The sequence below is a fragment of the Homo sapiens genome, chromosome 2, assembly GCF_000001405.40.
Source record: "Homo sapiens chromosome 2, GRCh38.p14 Primary Assembly".
Lineage (NCBI taxonomy): Eukaryota > Metazoa > Chordata > Mammalia > Primates > Hominidae > Homo > Homo sapiens.
In genome coordinates this window covers 108670985-108692707 of record NC_000002.12, presented here as the reverse complement: position 1 = coordinate 108692707, position 21723 = coordinate 108670985, and the positions used below count along the sequence as shown (strand labels likewise).

The following is a 21723-nucleotide window of genomic DNA, read 5'->3' as shown; positions in this document are numbered from 1 at the left end:
TTCACCTGTGGTGGGGAGTTGGAGACCAGCCTGACCAACATGGAGAAACTCCGTCTCTACTAAAAATACAAAATTAGCGGGGCGTGGTGGTGCATGCCTGTAATCCCAGCTACTCAGGAGGCTGTGGCAGGAGAATCATTTGAACTCTGGAGGTGAAGGTTGCAGTGAGTCGAGATCGTACCAGTACACTCTAGCCTGAGCAACAAGAGCGAAACTCTGGCTCAAAAAAAAAAAAAAAGTTAAGTTGGTAAATCTTTTTTTTAATCACTATTAAATTTTTTAAAACTCATTTTTAAAGAGTAGAGAAAATCAACAAAGGCAAAAGTTGCTGTTTTGAAAAAAAAATTTTTTTTTTGAGACAGAGTCTCGCTCTGTTGCCCAGGCTGGAGTGCAGTGGCGCGATCTTGGCTCAGTGCAAGCTCCGCCTCCCGGTTTCATGCCATTCTCCTGCCTCAGCCTCCTGAGTAGCTGGGACTACAGGCACCCGCCACCACACCCGGCTAATTTTTTTTTTTTTGTATTTTTTTAGTACAGATGGTGTTTCATCGTGTTAGCCAGGATAGTCTCGATCTCCTGACCTCGTGATCAGCCTGCCTCAGCCTCTCAAAGTGCTGGGATTACAGGAGTGAGCCACCGTGCCCGGCTTGAAAAACGTTTTTAAATTCATAAAGCTTTTGTTTTTTGAGATTGACCAAGAAAAAAGAAAGACTCTAATTACTAAAATCAGGGATGAAAGAAGGGGTATAAAAACTGACTTACGGCTGGGCACAGTGGCTTACAAAGTGCTTTGTAATCCCAGAACTTTGGGAGGCCAAGGTGGGCGGGGATCACGAGGTCAGGAGTTCGAGACCAGCCTGACCAAAATAGTGAAACCCCATCTCTAATAAAAATACAAAAAGTAAGCCAGGCATGGTGGCGGGCGCCTGTAATCCCAGCTACTCAGGAGGCTGAGGCAGGAGAATTACTTGAACCTGGGAGGCGGAAGTTGCCGTGAGCCAAGATCGTGCCATTGCACTCCAGCCTGGGCCAAAGTGCGAGACTACGTGTCAAAAAAAAAAAAAAAAAAAAAATAGTGACTTACAAGGATGCCTTCTTTCTTCACTTTTATTCAACACTGTACTGGATGTTCTAGCCAGGGCAATTAGGCAAGAAATGCAAACAAAAAGTATTGAAATAGGAATAGAATAAATAAAACTATCTCTATTCTAGATGACATGATCTTATATACAGAAAACCCTAATGAAACCTCAAAAAAAAAAAGACCTAAACCATCAGTGATAATAAATGAGTTCAAAGAGATTGTACCATACAAGGTCAATTAAAAAAAATGAGTTGCCTACTTATACACTAGCAATGAACAATTCAAGTAAAATTAAGTAAACAATTCCATTTATAATATTATCAAAAATAATAAAATAATTATGAATAAATTTAATCCAAAAGTGTAAGACTTGTAGACTGGAAACTACACAACACTGTTGAAAGAAATTAAAGAGGAGCTAAATCAATGGAAAGACATCCTGTGTTCATTAATTGGATGTAAACATGTCTACACAAAAACTTGTATACAGGCCAGGCATGGTGGCTCACGCCTGTAATCCCAGCACTTTGGGAGTTTTCGATGGGAGGATCACTTGAGTCCAGGTATTTGAGACCAGCCTGTGCAACACAGCGAGACCCCCATCTCTACAAAAAAAGAAAAAACAAAAACAAAAGAAAACCTATACATAATGTTTATAGCAGTACTATTTTTATTAGTAAAAGGTGGAAACATCCAAATTTCCATCTACTGAAGATGGATTTTTAAAATGTGGTATTACTTGGCACAGACACACGTGCCTGTAGTCCCAGCTACTGGGGAGGTTGAGGCAGGAGGGTCGCTTGAGCCCGAGAGTTTGAAGCTGCAGTTTGAAGCTGCAGTGATGCTCCTTGATCCATGCAGGAGCTGTGATCAGGCCTGTGAAGAGCCACTAAACTCCAGCCTGGGCGACATAGTGAGATCTCTGTCTCAAAGAAAAATGTGGTATAGCCATACAATAGAATATTACTTTTGCATAAAAAATAATGAAGTACCAATGCATACTACAACATGAATCAGCCTTGAAAACATTATTCTAAATGAAAGGTGCCAATCACAAAACCTCATATATCATTTCATTTATATGAAATATCCAGAGTAGGCAAACTCAAAGACACAGAAAGTAGACTAGTGATTGCCAAGGGCTGGGCAGAGGGGAAATCTGGGAGTGCATGTGACTGCCAACCTGAATGGAGTCTCTTGTTGGGGTGATAGAGATATTTTGGAATTAGATTTTGGGGATGGCTGTAAAACATTGCAAATTTACTAAAAAAAAAATCATTGAATGAAATTAAATCCTATGGAGATGATAGGTATTTTCATTTTGGCCAGGCAATCTACCTGATTAGGTTCAAGCCACAAGTTCCCACCCCTCCATTCTGCAGTCTGGTTCCAAAGTCAGTTCAGTGTCCAAAGTCTTCACAGGACTATTCAGTTCTGTCTGACTTGTGCACCACCCAGTGGCCAGTTGTGTCTGTGGGTGATGGTCTCTCAGTTCAGCTGTCAATCTTTGGTGTGTTGAACAGGACGAGATCTATGCAGGAGCAGCTCAAGAATGAGCCCTGGGGTTTATAGACAGGTTAATGGGGTTGCTTCACTGATTAACTCTCTCTCAGCAATTACCCTGTTGCTTTCATTTGCTGAGGCTTCTCTTTTTAGTCTTCCAAGCAGAAAACAGGCTTTCGGTATCTGGCTCTACCATGCATTTCTACATCTGAAGCCAAGAAGTGGGAGGACTGAATTGGAAGAGAAGCAACATGGATTGTTTCTGCCCTCTTGGGACCACAGCTCTGTCAGTTGGAGAAGGTTCCCTCCTACATCTTGGCTCCTGGGCTCCTCTTGGGGCTGGTGCCAGTGCCACTGTGGGACTGCTTGTGGGCTGAGGTATGAGAGAACAGGGAAAAGAAAAATGGGGAGGAACGAACTTCTGGATTCCCTCGGAATGTTAGGAGACCCTTTTCCCGTTACTTGAGCCAGAAATAGAGGGCATCTTCTGGAGCTCTTTCTATCTGCACCCTGGTGCCCACTGCCAGGTTAGTCACGGGATGCCGTAGGGGAAACATGGTTATCTCACCACTGGTTTGGTGGTACTTCAAGTTCTGGTCTTCTTGGGAAAGCTGCCTGCAACTATTTAGTTTTCACTGTCTTCCAATAGCTGCTCCATGCATTCTGTACTGTCTCCTGGCTGGACTCCATGCAGGAAGCCTGTCTCCTCCACAGTGTGCACTCACTCAGGTCATTGTTCAGTTTTATTGTTGGCATTTGTTTGCTTTAATTTTTCAGAATGGCTTCTTAGAGGTCGCTTCTTGTTTGCATAGTTTGTCAAACATCAGTTAAAGCCAATATGGTTTCCACCATCTGCTGCTGGATCTATGTGCAATGGGGAGGAGGCACGCCCCGGGCCATTTGCAAGGGTGTTCCGGCTTTTACTTCCTAACACTGGCACCGGCACACACACAGGCTGTGTGCCCTGGGCATATGGACATGGCTTGGGCTTGCTCTAATCTCTGCCAGCTATGAGCCTTCAGTCCATTTGGGTAGTGTGAAGAGTTTACTAAGCTCCCTCTGGCTCTCCGACCTCCCGGAGCTCCCTCTTACATCCATGACTAATCTGCAGGTCATTTGCTCGTCTCCAAAGGCCCAGAGCCTCAGGCTAGGAGTCAGTGGCCTTTCTTCCTCCTGGTCACTGATATCACCACCTTAACTAGCCATGCTGCAAATCAAAACCTTCCTCACTCTTGCCTCCAGCCCCTGCAACGAGGTGGCAGGGGAGCTTATCTCCACAGGCTGCCCTGCTGGGGGCCGCTGTGTGTGTTATCAACAGCTGGGGTAAATGGGGGTAGCAGCCTGGGCAAAGATGCCACAGACACAGGCTGGTCTTATCCAAGGCTCACTTTAATTCTTCTTTTTTTTCTTTAGGGACAGGGTCTGTCTCACTCTGTTGCCCAGGTTGGAGTGCAGTGGTGTGATCACAGCTCACTGCAGCCTCAATCTCCTGGGCTCAAATGATTCTCCCGCCTTAGCCTCCCATGTAGCTGGGACCACAAGTGTGCACCACCATGCCTTTTTTGATTTTTTTTTTGTACAGACGGGGGTCTCACCAAGTTGCCCAGGCTGTTTTTGAACTCCTGAGCTCAAGTGGTCCTTCTGCTTCAGCCTCCCAAAGTGCTGGGATTACAGGCGTGAGCCACCGCGCCTGGCCAGCTTTCATTCTTAAACACATCCCCATTTGTGCGGTGCCTTTGGTAAAATTACAGAATGCTAAATGGTTTGTCCAGCTATACAGTTACATTTTGGAAAGATTTGTTGACCTCCTCACTTCATCATGCTAGAAGTGGGAACTTTGATTCTCTTTAAAGAATCTGAAGATGAAGGGAAGACCAAAGCATAATTTGAGAGAATGGCAAGACTGAGAAAGGTTTCTGTAGCATGGTGCATGCATGTGTGTGTGCGTGTGTAGGGAGAGGCAAAGGGTTCTGACAAGAGGAAGAGGCTGAGGAAGCAGGCTCATCTCCACAACGTGCTGCTGCCACCCAATCATAGGGTCTCTTGCAGCAATTCCAGTCCTGATCTCACAAACCTCATACCCTAACTACGGTCCCCCTAATTGGGGTCCCTCCTCAGAGCTTTCCTAAGGCTCCCTAACTTTTCCCCTCACCTCGGTTGAGGCCTCCATGGTTTGGACTTGCTGGTTTTGCCTTGCTCTTCCCTTGATAAATACACCATTTATTCCGGTTCAGCCCTTGGAACTTTAAACCTTAACCCAAGCCTCCTCCACCCCACTATATTAGCCCAAGCCTAGAGTATCAGATCTGGATATTTGGGTAAAGATGCAGACAAATTTTGAGTTGAAAAAGAAAGAACTTAATTGCACCATTGCACTCCAGCTGAGGGCAGGGCACAGTGGCTCATTGCCTGTAATCCCAGCACACCATTGCACTGCAACCTCTGCCCCCTGGATTCAAGTGATTCTACTGCCTCAGCCTCCCAAGTAGCTGGGACTACAGGTGCACACCACCACGCCCTATTAATTTTTGTATTTTTAATAGAGATGAGGTTTCACTGTGTTGGCCAGGCTGGTCTCAAACTCCTGACCTCAAGTGATCCACTGGCCTCGGCCTCCCAAAGTGCTGGGATTACAGGTGTGAGCCACTGTGCCTGGACTGTATCTCCTTCTTAATAATAATAATAATTAAAAAACCCAGCATTTACATTGAGTAGAGGGAAGACTACACCATTGTTCTAGATGGTTCAAAATTTGGCTTATCTATAGTAACCAGGTCATTTTATTCATTTACTTGTTTCTATTATATATTCATGAATACTTCAATTTTCATATGTATTTCACATATATACCATTCAAAATAAACAATATACAACAGGTTATTGTTAACAATTATAAACATTTATTAAGCACCAAGAATATACTGTGGTGGTTGCTATATGAAAACATAATTACCAATATAGTATCCCTGCCATTGAGCTTACAATCTAAAACGAAATACAAGGCTATGAGCCTATCTAAAAACTTCCTTAACTTAGAAATGGCTACTTTGGCAAATGAGTGAGGCAAAATGACCTATTATTCAGGTGCAGTGCTAATAAGGCTTTGAATATCATCCAAAGAATGTTTTACTTGTACCCATTGTTCCTGATTATGTTACACTTGCTAAGAAAAACAGTACTTAGAATTTTGGCATGAACAATGAATTATTTCAAATTGTCTTGTAGGACTTTAAACAAAGAGATGCTTACTGGCCTAAGTTTTCCAGCAGCCAGGGAAAGCCCTATTAAAAATATTATGAACTAGACCAAGTTTCTCTTTTAATCCACTTACACTTTTTTTTTTTTTTTGAGACGGAGTCTTGCTCTGTCGCCCAGGCTGGAGTGCAGTGGTGCAATCTCGGCTCACTGCAAGCTCCGCCTCCTGGGTTCAAGCCATTCTCCTACCTCAGCCTCCCGAGTAGCTGGGACTACAAGCGCCCGCCACCACGCCTGGCTAATGTTTTTTTTTGTATTTTTAGTAGAGACGGGGTTTCACCTTGTTAGCCAGGATAGTCTGGATCTCCTGACCTCGTGATCCGCCCCCCTCGGCCTCCCAAAGTGCTGGGATTACAGGCATGAGCCACCACGCCCGGCCCACTTACACTTTTTAAACTTCTTCCTCTTCTCCTATACCTAAGGGCTCCAATGATACTACTTATCAGGGAAGAAAGTACTGTATCTAGATAAACTACCCTTAAGTATTACAGGCTTAGCAAGTTGAATTTCTAGAAAATACTCATTCATAATTTATTTATTTATTTTTTTTGAGACAGAGTCTTGCTCTGTTGCCCAGGCTGGAGTGCAGTGGCGTGATCTTGGCTCACTGCAAGCTCTGCCTCCCGGGTTCCCACCATTCTCCTGCCTCAGCCTCCCGAGTAGCTGGGACTGCAGGTGCCCGCCACCACGCCCGGCTAATTTTTTTGTAGTAGAGATGGGGTTTCAGTGGTAGCCAGGATGGTCTTGATCTCCTGACCTCGTGATCCACCTGCCTCGACCTCCCAAAGTGCTGGGATTACAGGTGTGAGGCACCGTGCCTGTCCACTAATTCATATTTTAAAAGAGGACTGAGCAAAGACAGCAATGGAACCTCTGGCTGCAGGAGATGCCTGGGTATGCCTGATATGTAAACAAACACAAGCAGTCGAGTTCAGGCCATGCATCTTCAAAGTGACGAAGAATATATGTAAATGCTTGTTTTTCTCCTCCATATTTCTCGTGTAGAGGTATATGAGAATTTAGCATCAAGACGCTATACTGCAAACCCTGTTCTGTGTTGCCTATATTCATAGCATAATATTTAATAAATACTCCCAAGGTTGTCATTGCTGGTCACATATTAGCTGACAAAGGCACACTGAAGGGACTTTGATTCTTACTGTAAAATGCAAAGATTGTTTTAAACTACTCAACATATACAATCTTAAACTATGTGATGATTATTCTCGATCATTTATGATAATTTCAATTCTAAAAGATTACTAAAAAAAATTGGTTGTAGGGTATCTGAAAACAAAAATAGAATGTACTCCATAAAGTACATGCACAGAATTTTTAAAAATGCAGGCATACAAATATTTAATGGCAGAGTGGTAATAACCTGAGACTTTTTAAAAATGGCAAAACAATATTTCAGCAATTTTTGGAAAAAAAACCCAAATATTTTCCCTAAGAAGTCTCTCTTGGCAACTTTCTTTTTAAGCAACAAAGCAGCAGCAACATTTTTAAATGTTCATAAAGCTCGCTTTCCATTAACAAGTTTATTAAGGAAGAGTGGTCCTGAAACTTCAGGATAAAACTTTTGATAAAAATAGAATCACTAATTTTGACCTAAAACAGACACTAAAACACCCCTCCTTCCAATTTAAGAGTGTCATTTATACCTCCTACTTACAGTAAATAAATCAAATTAATTATAAGATTTCAAATGGAAAATCTGAAACACATATCAACATCATTTTCTTCTAATAAGATAACAGAAATTAACTTCAATGGATTTCCCCAAAAAGAGAATAGTTTCTAAAAACTTAATTACAGCTGTGGTAAATGAATCTGGGTTTACCAATCTCAGATCTCAATGCACTTAGTTTTAGTTGGTATTCTGTGAGATGGCTAGAATTCCTGATTTAAGTATGTAGTATGTATGTTTTTAAGGCAAGGCAAGTTTGAGTATGTATAAAGCATAGATATTAGCATGGTTATAAAGGCAATATGACCGACATACACATTCAGTTTTCTGAAGCAATATATTCCAAGCTACATACAATTTAATTTCATGTCCTATTCTAAGACTACATGCTTAACATTAAGCTTAGAAACATAATTGCTGTAATACATTAAAAATACTTCATTTTCCAATATTGTAAAGTATATTTCCAAATACCTGGTATAAATTTTTTTTTGCACAAAAATTTAAAGGACATCCTACAGCTAGCTATTACTACTGCGTTAAGTAATCATTTGAAGGAAGAATTCACAAGGAGAGCAGGTTATAAAACTAAGCATAATAATTATTGCATTTAACTAAAAAAAATCAAGTAGTTCTGAATTACACTTGTTTTTTGTCTTAGTAATGTGCATATTCACTTTCTAGCTACTAGTTTGATAAATATACTAAGATTGTATAAGATTTGTTTTTCTTGTTTTTGTTTTTCTTGGGTGGTTATTTTTCTTTTCTGTGTCCTTCCCCAACAGCAGTTGGAATTTTCTTTTGAACACAAAGTAAATTAATGTTTATACTGTTTTTTCACCTGAGTCATGTAAAAGGTGACTCCTTTCATTTTAAAAAGTTATATTTAATTTTTGGGGGCCTTAATTAAAATTTAACATTTAACCATGTGTTTTTTTTTTGTAAACAGTCTACATGTCAACAAATGGATAAGGGTTAACAAAGGCAAATACTGACTTCATTTGTGTTTTAAACACGATTATATGAATTTTTCTTTTTTAATTAAAAAAATGACATAAAACCATTCATATAGGTCCTCTTCTCTCAACTGCTTTGAGATATAGCTTTAAATATGGGTAGATCAAGACAAGTAATGTTGGTAATCTCTTATCTTGCATAGAAAAGAAAAAATAAAGGAACTTATTTCCTTCCTAAGGTCTCAGCTAGTTTCTTAAGTCTTTTCTTCAGCTCCAATGGAAATTTCTCATAGCACTTCTTACAGACTGGCTTCATGTCAAACTCCACAAACTTATTCCTAAAGACAAAAAATTATAAAAAAAAAGAAGTTAGTGGAAACATATTCAACAAAGATATATAAATGATGTGCAGTAATTGTACTGAACTAAACGAAGGCAACTAGGTGATGATATTATATTCATGTTAGTAAAAAAACCATAATCCTAACCTCAATTCTTATTGTGATATATATATAAAAATTCAGTATAATTTTAAAAAAAAGTCCTTATAAATTGGTTCTATACATCCATCTGTGTAACACAGACTGTAGATTACATTTTATTCAGTACTAAGTAAACAGGAAATCTAATGTAAATATAATTAACTTAAGTACAGTCAATCACTTTTTTTTTTTTTTTTTTTTGGAAACAGAGCCTCGACTGTCACTCAGGCTGGAGTGCAGTGGTGATCACAGCTCCCTGCAGCCTCTAACTCCTGGACTCAAGCCATCCTCCCACCTCAGCCTCCTGAATAGCTGGGACACAAGTGCATACTACTATGCCTGGCTAACTTAAAAATTTTTTTTTGTAGAGACAGGGTCCTGTCGTATTGCCTAGGATGGTAATCACATTTTAGAATACCTTAAAGATAAATTTATCTAAAGGAAAGAATCATATTTTTATAATGTGAATGATTTCTTTATTGGAGGCAACATGATCTTACTTAGTACTTTAAATTAGGTAGCCATGAGGTTTAATTAATTTTAAATTATAAGGGGTTATTTTGGTTATCTGACAGAAAGGTTGGAAGAAAGTTTTTAATCACTCTTAACATAAATGTAACCAGATCACCTGTGGTTGCATTGTAAGCGGTAGCTATTTGAAGAACTCAACTATTCTTTTGAAAAGCTAGAGCAACACACATTATCAATTTATTTTTAAAATGGTCCTGGAGAAGACAACTTTTCAGATAGCCTCCTGATCATCTGTAATGCATTTCCAACAGGTAATTACAGGAGCTTATTACTGTTGAAATCCAGAGTGTTTAATTTTGAATTGAGTAAATATACAACTTGGTAACTTGTTCACTGTCTGTGAAATTATATTCAGGTAGCATTTGTGAAATAAATCTAGTGGTATATTGCTATCTATGACAAAAATTATAAAATCTGCTGATATTTTTACTGCATTTAAACATTATATTAAACTAGACTTTGCTTCAAGATCATTTTAAAGGACAATGTTAGTAACAAAGGAAATTCCTAAACACATATCTAAAATGAAAAATCTTCTATTTTAAAACACTACACTGGGAATTACTTTACGGCTTTTCTCCCAAGGTCATCTTAGAGCAAAAGCTATTAAAACTGCCATTTTTTTGATAAAAGAAAAAAATTATTCCTGTTTTCAGACAGACTACCTTAGCAAGCTTTCCAGTTTTAATCTTTTTTATTTTTTATTTTTTGAGACAGAGTCTCACTCTGTCGCCCAGGGTGGAATGCAGTGGCACGATCTCGGCTCACTGCAACCTCCGCCTCTCAGGTTCAAGCGATTCTCCTGTCTCAGCCTCGCGAGTATCTGGGATTACAGGCACCCGCCACCATGCCTGGCTAATTTTTTTGTATTTTTAGTAGAGACGGGGCTTCACCATGTTGCCCAGGCTGATCTCAAGTGATCTGCTGCCTTGGCATCTCAAAGTGCTGGGATCACAGGCGTGAGCCACCATGCCCGGCCTCATTGTTTTAATCTTACATTTACATTTAATTCCTCTTTATAGAAGGAAACATGTAAACTGGAACAAAATATTTTTAGAGCTCCAAACACAATGGTAACTATGAGGGAAAACTGGAACAATCATGCTGGTAATTCAAAAGAATTTCAAAGATTGAAATACTTCTCATAAAAATCAGGAATAAAAAAAGAGTTTGAAGACATTGAGGAAATGAATTCATAAACAGTAGCATATGGGTATTGTATGAATGCACATTCGAACATCACAGAAGAAGATGTCTTACGTAAATCAGATGGACTTTGCTTAGATACGAAACATGCTGAAAGATTTTTTTTTTTTTTTGAGACAGAGTCTCACTCTGTCGCCCAAGCTGGAGTGCAGTGGCAGTCATGGCTCACTGCAGCAGCCTCAGCCTCCTGAGTAGCTGGGACTATAGGTATGGGCCACCACGCCTGGCTAATTTGTTTTTTTTTTTTGACGGATGGGGTCTAGGCATGTAGTCCAGGCTGGTCTCAAAATCCTGGGCTCAGGCAATCCTTCCACTCTGCCTTCCTAAAGTGCTGGGATTACAGGCGTGAGCCACCATGCCTCGCCATGCTGAAATAATTTAATACATAACTTAGAATATATGCATTTTTAAAAATATCAAACAACACTTATAATTTATCAATTAAATGATCGTGGCAAGGAAACCAAAAACCAGGATTTTAAAAGCTACAGTTAATCAGACAAAAATCCTTTAAAATGTTTTCCAGGGTCTATTAAGAGATTAGAATTCTTCCCTTTAAATCCATTAAAAAAAAAAGAAAGAAATGTATACTATATGGTGTTTAAAAAATGAGGTGAGTGAGTCTACAGAGTAAGTGAAATACATGACCACAAAACTGTATTAAGTATGGAGTGTATTCATTTAATTTTTGTAATTTTAGCAGTTATGCAAAAGGACCAGTTCTACATAGGACAAATACTTGTATTTCAATCTCTGATGACTACAAATACATGCCCAAAAGTTGCAGGGGGGGAAGAAAGCAAAAGACAGAAACAGAACAAAAACATATTCCAAAGGACTAACCAAAGGAGAAAGCAGTGAAAATGATGACACAGGGATAGAAAAGTTTACAAACAGACTGGCTTTTTCTTTTTCTGCTTGTCCTTATCCTTTGCTTCTCTCTCCCGTTTGGCAAGTCGCCTCTTAAATTCTTCTGGCATTTTCTCATAACAGTGTTTGCAGACTGGCTTTAGGTCAATTTCAACAAACTTATCCCTTTGAGTAGGACAAAGAAGGAATAGAAGAAAGAACAGGGAACAGTTAAAGGAAGAACCTTTACTTTCAGAAGGCCTGAACAGAAAGAGGAAATAAGAAATCAAATAATTCTCTTTTTCTAAATTCTAGGATTTTTTTTAAGTGTCTCCCCAAAGTTTTCAGTCTTAGGATTCACACTGGACAAAACCGTACACTTACTTGAGTGTTAATTTAGTGTTGCAGGTAGAACAGGCAAAGCAGTTCACGCACCAGGCCTTATTAAGAGCAGAGACCACTGGAGAAAGAGGAAAGAGATCTGGTCACATGGAAATACATCAGTATGGGGAGCAGGGCAGCTTAGAATTTCAACTCCAAAACAGAACTACGACTGTGTCTGTGGCACTTGGTGGAGGTTCTCAAGAACCTTTTTTTTTTTTTTTTTTTTTTTTAAATGAGACAGGGTCTTGCTCTATAGCCCAGGCTGGAGTACAGTGGCACAATCTTGGCTCACTGTAACCCCAACCTCCCAGGCTCAAGTGATCCTCCCACCTCAGCCTCCTGAGTAGCTGGGACTACAGGTGCATGCCACTACACCTGGCTAATTTTTTTTTTTTTTTTTTTTTTGAGACGGAATCTCGCTCTGTTGCCAGGCTGGAGTGCAGTGGCGCAATCACGGCTCACTGCAACCTCCGCCTCCTGGGTTCAAGCGATTCTCCTGCCTCATTTTCCCAAGTAGCTGGGACTACAGGTGCGTGCCACCATGCCCAGCTAATTTTTGTATTTAATAGAGACGGGATTTCACCATGTTGGCCAAGATGGTCTCAATCTCTTGACCTTGTGATCCGCCCGTCTTGGCCTCCCAGAGTGCTGGGATTACAAGCGTGAGCCACTGCGCCCGGCCTATACCTGTCTAATTTTTGTATTTTTTATAGAGACACGGTCTTGCCATGTTTCCCAGGACGGTCTTGAACTCCTGGGCTCAAGCAATCTACCTGCCTCGGTCTCCCAAAATGCTGAGATTATAGGCATGAGCCACCATGCCCAGCCAAGAACCTCTTTCCTGAGAGCTTCTTTTCTTTTGTTTTTCAGACAGGGTCTCGCTCTGTTGTCCAGGCTGTATTGCAGTGGTGCGATCACAGCTCGAACTCCTGGGCTCAAGCAATCTTCTCCTCTCGTTCTCCTGTGTAGCTGGGACCATAGGTGTGTGCTACCACACCTGGCTAATTTTTTATTTTGTAGAGATGGAGGTCTTGCTCTGTTGCCCAGGCTGGTATCGAACTCCTGGCCTCAAGAAATTCTCCTGTCTCGGCCTCCTTAAGTGCTGGGATTACAGGTATAAGCCACCACACCCGGCCCTCAACCTTTATGTATACAGTTGTTGCTCAGTATGTGCAGGATACTGTTTCTAGGATGCTGTGAGGATACCAAAATCTCAGACGCTCAAGTCCCTGATATAAAATGCATATAACCTATGTACATTGTCTTGTATACATTTATTTATTTTTTTTGAGACGAAGTTTTTGCTCTTGTTGCCCAGGCTGGAGTGCAATGGTGTGATCTTGGCTCACAGCAACCTCTGCCTCCCGGGTTCAGGTGATTCTCCTGTCTCAGCCTCCCGAGTAGCTGGGATCATAGGCATGCACCACCACACCCAGCTAAGTTTTTGTATTTTTAGTAGAGATGGGGTTTCACCATGTTGGCCAGACTGCTCTTGAACTCTTGACCTCAGTTGATCTGCCCGCCTTGGCCTCCCAAAGTGTTGGGATCACAGGCGTGAGCCACTGAGCCTGGTCCTATCTCGTATACTTTAGATCATCTCTAGGTTAATTATAATGCCTAGTACAATGTAAATGATATGTAAATAGTCATTATACTGTACTATTTGTACTGTTATATTGTTATTTTTCTCTAAATATTTTTGATCCATAGTTGGTTGAATCCACGGATGTTTGGATCCAGCCCCTGGATACGGAGGGCTGACTTTAATCTTCCCCCATCCTTAAGTATCCTGTGAAGTTATAAATGATGTGTGCCATGTCTTACACCAGCAACTGTGCCCCCTTGGCCTGGGCACATGTGGCAACTGTCCATGCACCATGTTGTTTAGGTGAGCTTGCTGTTTCTGTCCCTACTGCTGTTGGCCCAACATGGAAATATGAACTAGGTAAATAATTTTCAAAAATCCAGACATTAACTTATTTGCCCCTGTAGGAGTCTTTTTTCCAGAGCTGATGATAAGAAGACAGTTTCCTTTGCAGCTTCTTTCACCTGGCATCTATTTCACAGAGGAGGGAGGTAAGTTTTATTTTCAATGGCACTAAAGATTGTTTTCCTGGATTGTTTTCACAAACTGCACATGAACAGTGTTTCAAAAGTATTTCCTGAATTAGGTGATGTCTGCAGGGAGCCATGAATCATGCTGAAAACAGGATTGTTCAAAACTTTGCCAGGAAGTCTCTGGCAGAAGTGTGTTAGCGAGTCTTAGCAAACACAGCTGCTTCCTTTCTGTTCCAATCAATCAGCCCAGCCTAATTACCACAGTACAAGGGTGGTAAGTCCTAGATATGCTTGCTGATAACTGCCAGCTTTTAGCATGTGCAGGTTAAAGTGCCTCTTCCTAACTACGATAGCAGATTAAACTGTTCCTAATAAACGTTGTTCTAGAGCTTCCTGAAACTGGACACAAACAGGTCTTAGGGTCCACCAGGGACAGTTCCCATGATTGCTGGCATACAACACTGCAGCAGTGGCCGAAAGTAGTGTCATAAATCAGTAACAAATCCAACTCTTTGATATTATCATCTTACTGCTACAGATTACTTGGAAAATACGCCAAAGATAGAGAAAAAGTAACTGATAACGATCACATTTCAAACCATACAATCACCAACCTGAATTTCCACATTACCCAAGTGTTTTTGTGTCAAAGTGGCACCAATCTAAAACTCACACAGATACTTACCATCACCTTCTATAACACGATTGCAGTGGAAGCAAACATCACCAAATAGCTGAAAATAAAAAAAGGTGGTCAAAGTTCAAGATGTGTTAGAATTTTTAGAACACTGAACATTTAAAAATAGCTGGCTATCTAAATTGAGGATTTATCACTACTAGAGAAATTTAGTAAAAGTTCTTTGACAAGTTTTTACTTCTTACAATGAAAGTAATTCACTCTCATCAATTAAAAGAAAAACTTTCCAGATGACAGTTTGAACACCCAAATAAGTGATGCAAAATATAGAAATCTGTGAGTCCATATGGATAAGAAATAGATAAATGAATAAACCTATAGACGGGAGAGGAGGTGGGTTCTTGCTCAGGCAGAGCGCTGAGGACCAGACTATGGGTGGAGGGCATGGGGCTGGAGAAGTGTCGTTTGCAGCTGGCGCAGAGACAAGAATCATCAAGGGGTGCTGAATCTAGGGCAGGTTGATGAGGAACAGGACATTTCCATGGTCATAAAATGATTGCCCACAGATTGCTTCTTTCTTACAGAGGAGGGAAGGAAATTGTAATTCACAGTGATGTTATCAGCCAGCACCATGCCTGGGAGATCACCAGGGCAGGAGAGGTATAAAATGCTCCAGGGGCAAGGTTCTGAGAAGATGCCCTGCCACTGTATGAGGCCACAACCTGCTGTGTATAACCTCATCTAAGCACAGAGAAGCACCAGGTGAACCCAAGTGGAAAGTAGTCTATTAAAAAGGGGTTAGGGGCCCTCTGCATCCCTCCAAAATGTCAATGTCATCAAAAATTTTAAAAGACTCTGGAAACGTTCCAGATTTAAGAAGGCTAAAGAAACATCACAGCCAGAGGCTGGGTCCAGTCTGGGAGTGGAAAAAATGCTGTGAGGATATTGACTCAAGTGACAAAACTGGAATAAATGGTTAGAGTACGGTATCAATATTGATAACTACAATTATGTTAGAGAGTCCCATATTCTTGGGAAATATACACTGAAGTATTTAGGGATAAAGGAGTATGATGAACTTATTGGCAAAACAGCCATCGTACTTGTATATAATATTTACGTAACTATGTGTTTTACACAGGAAGACTGAGCTTGGGAAATGATAAAGCAAACTGTGGACTTGAATGAAAGACATACAGGTATTCTTTGTATATTTTATAGTTAGCTTCTGAGTCTGAAATTATTTCCCAAATAAAAAGTTAAAAACAAATCTCTACTGAACAATGTACATCTTCCAAGAGATTTCCTTGTAGCTAAACTACTGATAAGCTTAGGTTCATAAAAGTCTATCTAGCATCCAGTGACTAAGGTCAATACCTGGTTATAGTGAGTTTCACAATATGCCAGGCCTTTCCTCTCATAATGGCGATGTCCAAGAAAGGGTTTCTCACACTTGGCACAAACAAAATGCTGAAAAAAAATTGCTATAGGTCATTTTTGAATTGCCATATTTTATATCTAATAAAGTAAATACCAGAGTTAACCTATTTTCAGAGAAGATGAAGGAAAGTTTGAGACAGTCATTTCATTTGGCCATAGGTGGCCCCATAATATAATACTTCTGCAGTTGTAATTCAGGTGTCTGTCTTTGAAGGTTACTTTAAGACATAGCCTATTATAATAGCCCAAAAAGAGAATAGAGGTGAGCATCTCAGTAGCACCTATAAAGGAGGAGCTGCTGCTGGATACAGACCATGGCACTTCCTGCTTCAAGAAGGCTTTAGGAGCAAAAGTACACATCCTGTATCATTACTGAGACATTCACAAAAGCAGTGTACATTATATATTCTTAGCTGTCAGCAAAGTCAATTGTCTTTAAAATGTCCACGTTTAATCTTTAGAGTCTCCTAATCTTGCCAGGACACCTGAATCATGAAGATTTGAAAGTACTGGTTACCCCTGAATCATGGGAGATCTGAAAGTATTGGTTACCCCTTAATCATGGAGATTTGAAAGGATTGGTTACCCTTTGCCATTTAGAACTCACCTCCACATGCCACTGCTTGCCCATAGCGTTCACCACGCGCCCTTCGATGGGCCGTCGGCAAGCACCACAGATGGGGACCCCCATTTTATCATGGCATGGGAGGCAGTATAGCTCCCCTTTCAGCTCCCGTGCATCGGCAGTCAGCTCCTTCCTGTCCGTGAGAAAGACACACAGCTTAATACTAAGAGAGAAAAGTGGCCAACCAATGGGGCTAGCACACTTTTTAGAAGGTTTTTAAAGACATTACTATGACAATCCCTGCAAATTTCTTTTTTCCCCTTTAGAGGTGATCAGAATAACCTGAATTAATAGGCCTGAACAGGTTTCAGACTCCTACCAAAACATCTGTATCTTAAAAGGATAAGATGCAAGACTAGGTCAGATACATACCACCACACCAGTCATATTCATAATTTCCTTCTTATATTATCACATTACATTTTAGTCCATTTGTCTTCCTCTAAAAGCTACAGGGAATAATCACAGTGCTGAGGGTAGACTCAGTAATACTATCTGCTATGGTGTGACTGTGTCCCCAAAGTTCATGATCCCCAATTCTGAGGTGTTGAGAGGTAGGACCTCTAAGGGGTGATTACATCATGAAGGCTCTGCCCTCACAGATGGATTAACGCTGTTACTGAGGGGGTGGGTTCCTTATAAAAGGACGAGTTCAGCCTCCTTCCTTCTCTTCCTTCCCCCCTCCTCTTCCCCCACCATGTGATGCCCTCTGCTATGTAATGATGCAGAAGAAGGTCCTCACCAGATGCCAGCCCCTTGATCTTGGACTTCCCAGCCTCCAGAACCATGAGCCAAATAAACTTCTGTTGGTTACAAATTACCCAGTTTGTGGTATTCTGTTACAGGCGCATAAAATAGACTAACACACGACCTTTCCAAGCAAACTGAGAAGTTGGGAGACTAGTTCCATTTACTAACAATTATTTAAATTGTCACAAGCTGTTGAAAATAGTTATAGGTTAATAGGTTTATTTTCATAAACAACAAAATGCCCAGAATTTTCCTTCTCCAAATACTCAAATTAAATATTATTTTCAGTCTCCTGCATCAATAAACATTTGGTCAGAGATGGTCCCAATTAGTCAAACGGACTTGTTTGAATTTCATCCCTTTTATGTAATTCTCTAGGAGAGATGCTAATGAAAAGTGGACAGAGGTGAATCCCCAAGAGGAAGGACAGGCAAGAAAACGAGATAAGGCACAAACTGATAATTCAATCACAAAAGATGAGATGGCTGAACTTATACAACCAAACTGTTTTCTTTCTTTCTCTTTTTTTTTTTTTTTTTTTGAGACGAGTCTTGCTTTGCTGCCCAGGCTGGAGTGCAGTGGCGCGATCCACACTCACTGCAAGCTCCACCTCCCAGGTTCATGCCATTCTCCTGCCTCAGCCTCCCGAGTAGCTGGGACTACAGGCACCCACCACCACGCCTGGCTAATTTTTTTATTCTTAGTAGAGATGGGGTTTCACCATGTTAGCCAGGATGGTCTCGATCTCCTGACCTCGTGATCCACCCGCCTCGGCCTCCCAAAGTGCTGGGATTACAGGCGTGTGCCACTGCACCTGGCCCAAACTGTTTTCTTAGTATTTGGCTTACTGTTTCTTCTCCATCCCTACTATAATTTAGCAAGTAAGTTCACATTAACTACAGTAAAGAATATTTTTTTATTTTTATTTTTTGAGATGGAGTCACGCTCTGTCTCCCAGGTTCGAGTGCAGTGGTGCGATCTCAGCTCACTGCAACCTCCGCCTTCCGGGTTCCTGCCATTCTCCTGCCTCAGCCTTCCAAGTAGCTGGGACTATAGGCACCCGCCACCGTGCCCGGCTAATTTTTTTTGTATTTTTTAGTAGAGACGGGGTTTCACCGTGTTAGCCAGGATGGTCTTGATCTCCTGACCTCGTGATCTGCCCGCCTCGGCCTCCCAAAGTGCTGGGATTACAGGTGTGAGCCACCACGCCCGGCCAAGAATCTTTATCCACTAAATTTTTATACTAGGCAGCAAACTGAGAAAAATTCATAGCCCAACAATTTATCATAACTTATTGAAGACAAAAAATTAAATATATTTCTTTTAGATATAAACCAAGCCAAATTAAATAAATGTAACAACATCTTTTAAGATAATACCTAATTATTACAACTGTAAAAGTTATGCATGTACAGAGATAAGACCTTTTTTTGTTTTTAGATCTTCGATTGGAAAAACATAGTGATGACAAATATTTCTGGGGCTACTGGGAATATTTTTAATATGGACTGATAGTTGATATTATAAGATTATTGCTAATTTTCTTAGGCATAATAAGAGTATTGTGGTTCTGGCCAGGTGCAGTGGCTCATGCCTATAGTCCCAGCACTTTGGAAGGCTGAGATGAGTAGATTGCTTGAGCCCAGGAGTTTGAGACCAGCCTGGGCAACGCAGCAAGGCTCCATCTCTACAAAAAATTTAAAAAAATTAGTCAGGAAGGGTGGTGTGTGCCTGTGGTCTCAGCTACTCTGGAGGCTGAAGTGGGAGGACTGCTTGAGCCCAGGAGGGTGAGGCTGCAGTGAGCTCTGATTGCCCACTGCACTTCAGCCTGGGCAATAGAGCGAGAGAGACCCTGTCTCAAGGCAAAAAAAAATTTACAAAAAGTATCGTGGTTCCATAGGAAAATGCTCTTATTCTCAGGAGACGCATACTGGGACTCATGAGAAATTTTAGAGGTATGCGTATACAGGCACACGTGCACACATACATAGGAGGGTGAAACGAGAATGTGGACTGTATACACACAAGCATGGCAAAATGTCAACTGGTGAAACGAAATTAAGTGTATACAGGTTTCATTATATCATTCTCTTGACTCGTCTATAGGTTTAAAATTTTCTAGACTAAAAATTGGAGAAAAACAATTTGGTTTGCTAGAGTAACAGAAATATAGATAAATGTAATCTTTCATTCCCACTGCTTGTGTAATAAAAAAGAAACAATTCCAGTACCCGCAGTTGGCGCAGTTGAAATGGTCTGGATGGTAGGGGTCGTTCTTGAATATCAGAGGCTGCTCATCGATGATAGCATGGCATTTCTGGCAGATGTATTTCCCAAGGCCTCTGGCTTTCTCACGATTATGACAGGGGCGACACAGGTGTCTAAACAGAGTCAAAACTTAAATTTAAAATTTTAGGTTCTTTCTAATGGTTAAAAAGAAATATGCTTCCCTTATCTCTGAAAAGAAATTAAACAAACCATTTCTTAAAAAAATCACTCCTGTGCTTCACGGGGCAGAATCAAGCCACATGAAAAATGTGTTCCAACCCTAATATGACTGATTTTTAAGAAACTCCATCTAGGTACATCCCCCATTGGTAGTTCAGCCATGCATGGAGCAGTTATGCCCTGTGAACAGCAACACAAGGGTCCACTCCCAGCAGCAGCACTCAGTCAACACACTGCAGTGTCTGAGTTCCCATGCCCTCAATTCAGTGTCCTACAGAACTGCCTTACATCCCACATGGAGAATACACATGATCTTGTCACAGTCACATTGTCCACCCACATCTGACAAGGATGAAAATCCACCTACCTCCCAGCATTCTTGACAAACCCGATATCTGCCAGAACTTCCTGGCAGAGGTCACAGCGGAAGCACTCCGGATGCCAGCTGTTATTCATGGCTTTGATAACTCGGCCAATGATGAATTCACCTGTGGGAAAGCAACACACAAAGGATGTTACTAAGTAACATCCTAAGTAACAGGCATGGCACTTTATTTACTGAGAGAGTAATTAAGGAAAAACAATGAGGAAAAAAACCGTTGAAGCCTTTCTCAATAGAGGAACTTTTTTTTTTTTTTTTTTTTTTTGAGACAGTTTCGCTCTTGTTGTCCAGGCTGGAGTGCAATGGCACCATCTCGACTCACTGCAACCTCTGCCTCCCGGGTTCAAGCGATTCTCCTGCCTCAGCCTCCCAAGTAGCTGGGATTACAGGCTCCTGCCACCACGCCCGGCTATTTTGTATTTTCAGTAGAGACGGGGTTTCTCCATGTTGGTCGAATTCCCGACCTCAGGTGATCCGCCCGTCTTGGCCTCCCAAAGTGCTAGGATTATAGGCGTGAGCCACCACACGTGGCCAGTAGAAGAACTTTTTATGTGTCTACCAGAGTAAGCACATTAGCAAAAAAGTTTTATTTCATCTGAATTTTTGTTTTTGATTCAACAGCCACATTTTTGGGCTGTTTTGTGTCATCTCTGAATCTAGCTTTCCTGTCCAAACGAGCTACTAGGCTCTCTTGAATGCCTTTTGGTTATTTCTGGTCATTGTCAACATAGACAACTGAAATCTACAGCACAGTTTCTTATAACCCATACTTAATTTATTCTTTCATTAAACCTTTAGAACATTCTACCCAGTTTCTTCAATCTCTGGAAACCCGGCAGAGGTATTAGCAACCAGTGAAGTGGCCAACGTGCAAGCAAGTCCATCACTTATGCGCCGTGCAAGCAATGTTTAAGCATCCCTAAGCTTCTGAAGCACCTCACTGATTTCTTCCCTGCCTCTTTCTGGGCAAAACCAAAAGCAAGTTGGTAAAGGTTGTGTTAACACAGGAAAAGAACACTCCCAAACGCCACCCGATAGGAGTCCTAGTTCATCCCAAAATACCTCTACCTTAAATGTCCTTAAAAATCAATGATCTCTAGGTTTTGATACTCCTCCAGCTTGTTCTATGTTAACAATAGGGAAGAGGAGTGATGAAGTATCCAACAGTTATTCATAATGAGCACTAAAAACCATTTTTACCATCGATACTTCACCAGTGTGAAATGACTGAAGTAATGTGGAAACTTACTTTTTTTCCCCGCAAGATGGAGTTTTGCTGTTGCCCAGGCTGGAGTGAAGTGGTGCAATCTCAGCTCACTGCAACCTCTGCCCCCTGGGTTCGAGCGATTCTCCTGCCTCAGCCTCTTGAATAACTGGGATTACTGGCACCTGCCACCATGCCCAGTTAATTTTTGTATTTTTAGTAGAGACGGGGTTTCCCTACGT

General features: G+C 41.0%; 1 protein-coding gene and 1 long non-coding RNA gene across 14 annotated transcripts in view; one reads left to right on the top strand and one right to left on the bottom strand.

Annotated features, from left to right (window-relative positions):
• Positions 1–5461: 5461 nt before the first annotated feature.
• Positions 5462–21723, bottom strand: part of LIMS1 (LIM zinc finger domain containing 1) — a 153576-nt gene continuing 137314 nt past the window's right edge. For 9 of the 13 annotated variants that reach the window (NM_001371496.1, NM_001193483.3, NM_001371498.1 and 6 more), the window contains exons 4-10: positions 20263–20383; positions 19679–19828; positions 16680–16830; positions 16010–16102; positions 14681–14729; positions 11938–12013; positions 5462–8823 (exon numbers count right to left, since the gene is read on the bottom strand). In NM_001371496.1, coding sequence (NP_001358425.1) covers positions 8709–8823; positions 11938–12013; positions 14681–14729; positions 16010–16102; positions 16680–16830; positions 19679–19828; positions 20263–20383 — 755 coding nt within the window. In that variant the 3' untranslated portion in view covers positions 5462–8708. Of the gene's footprint in view, positions 8824–11547; positions 11740–11937; positions 12014–14680; positions 14730–16009; positions 16103–16679; positions 16831–19678; positions 19829–20262; positions 20384–21723 lie in introns of all 13 variants that reach the window. The other 4 variants (NM_001371495.1, NM_001394897.1, NM_001371494.1 and 1 more) reach the window with 2 other exon arrangements.
• Positions 14107–15913, top strand: LIMS1-AS1 (LIMS1 antisense RNA 1). Its single transcript, NR_149074.1, has 3 exons — positions 14107–14269; positions 15217–15394; positions 15778–15913. It is a non-coding gene; the product is annotated as an LIMS1 antisense RNA 1 (long non-coding RNA).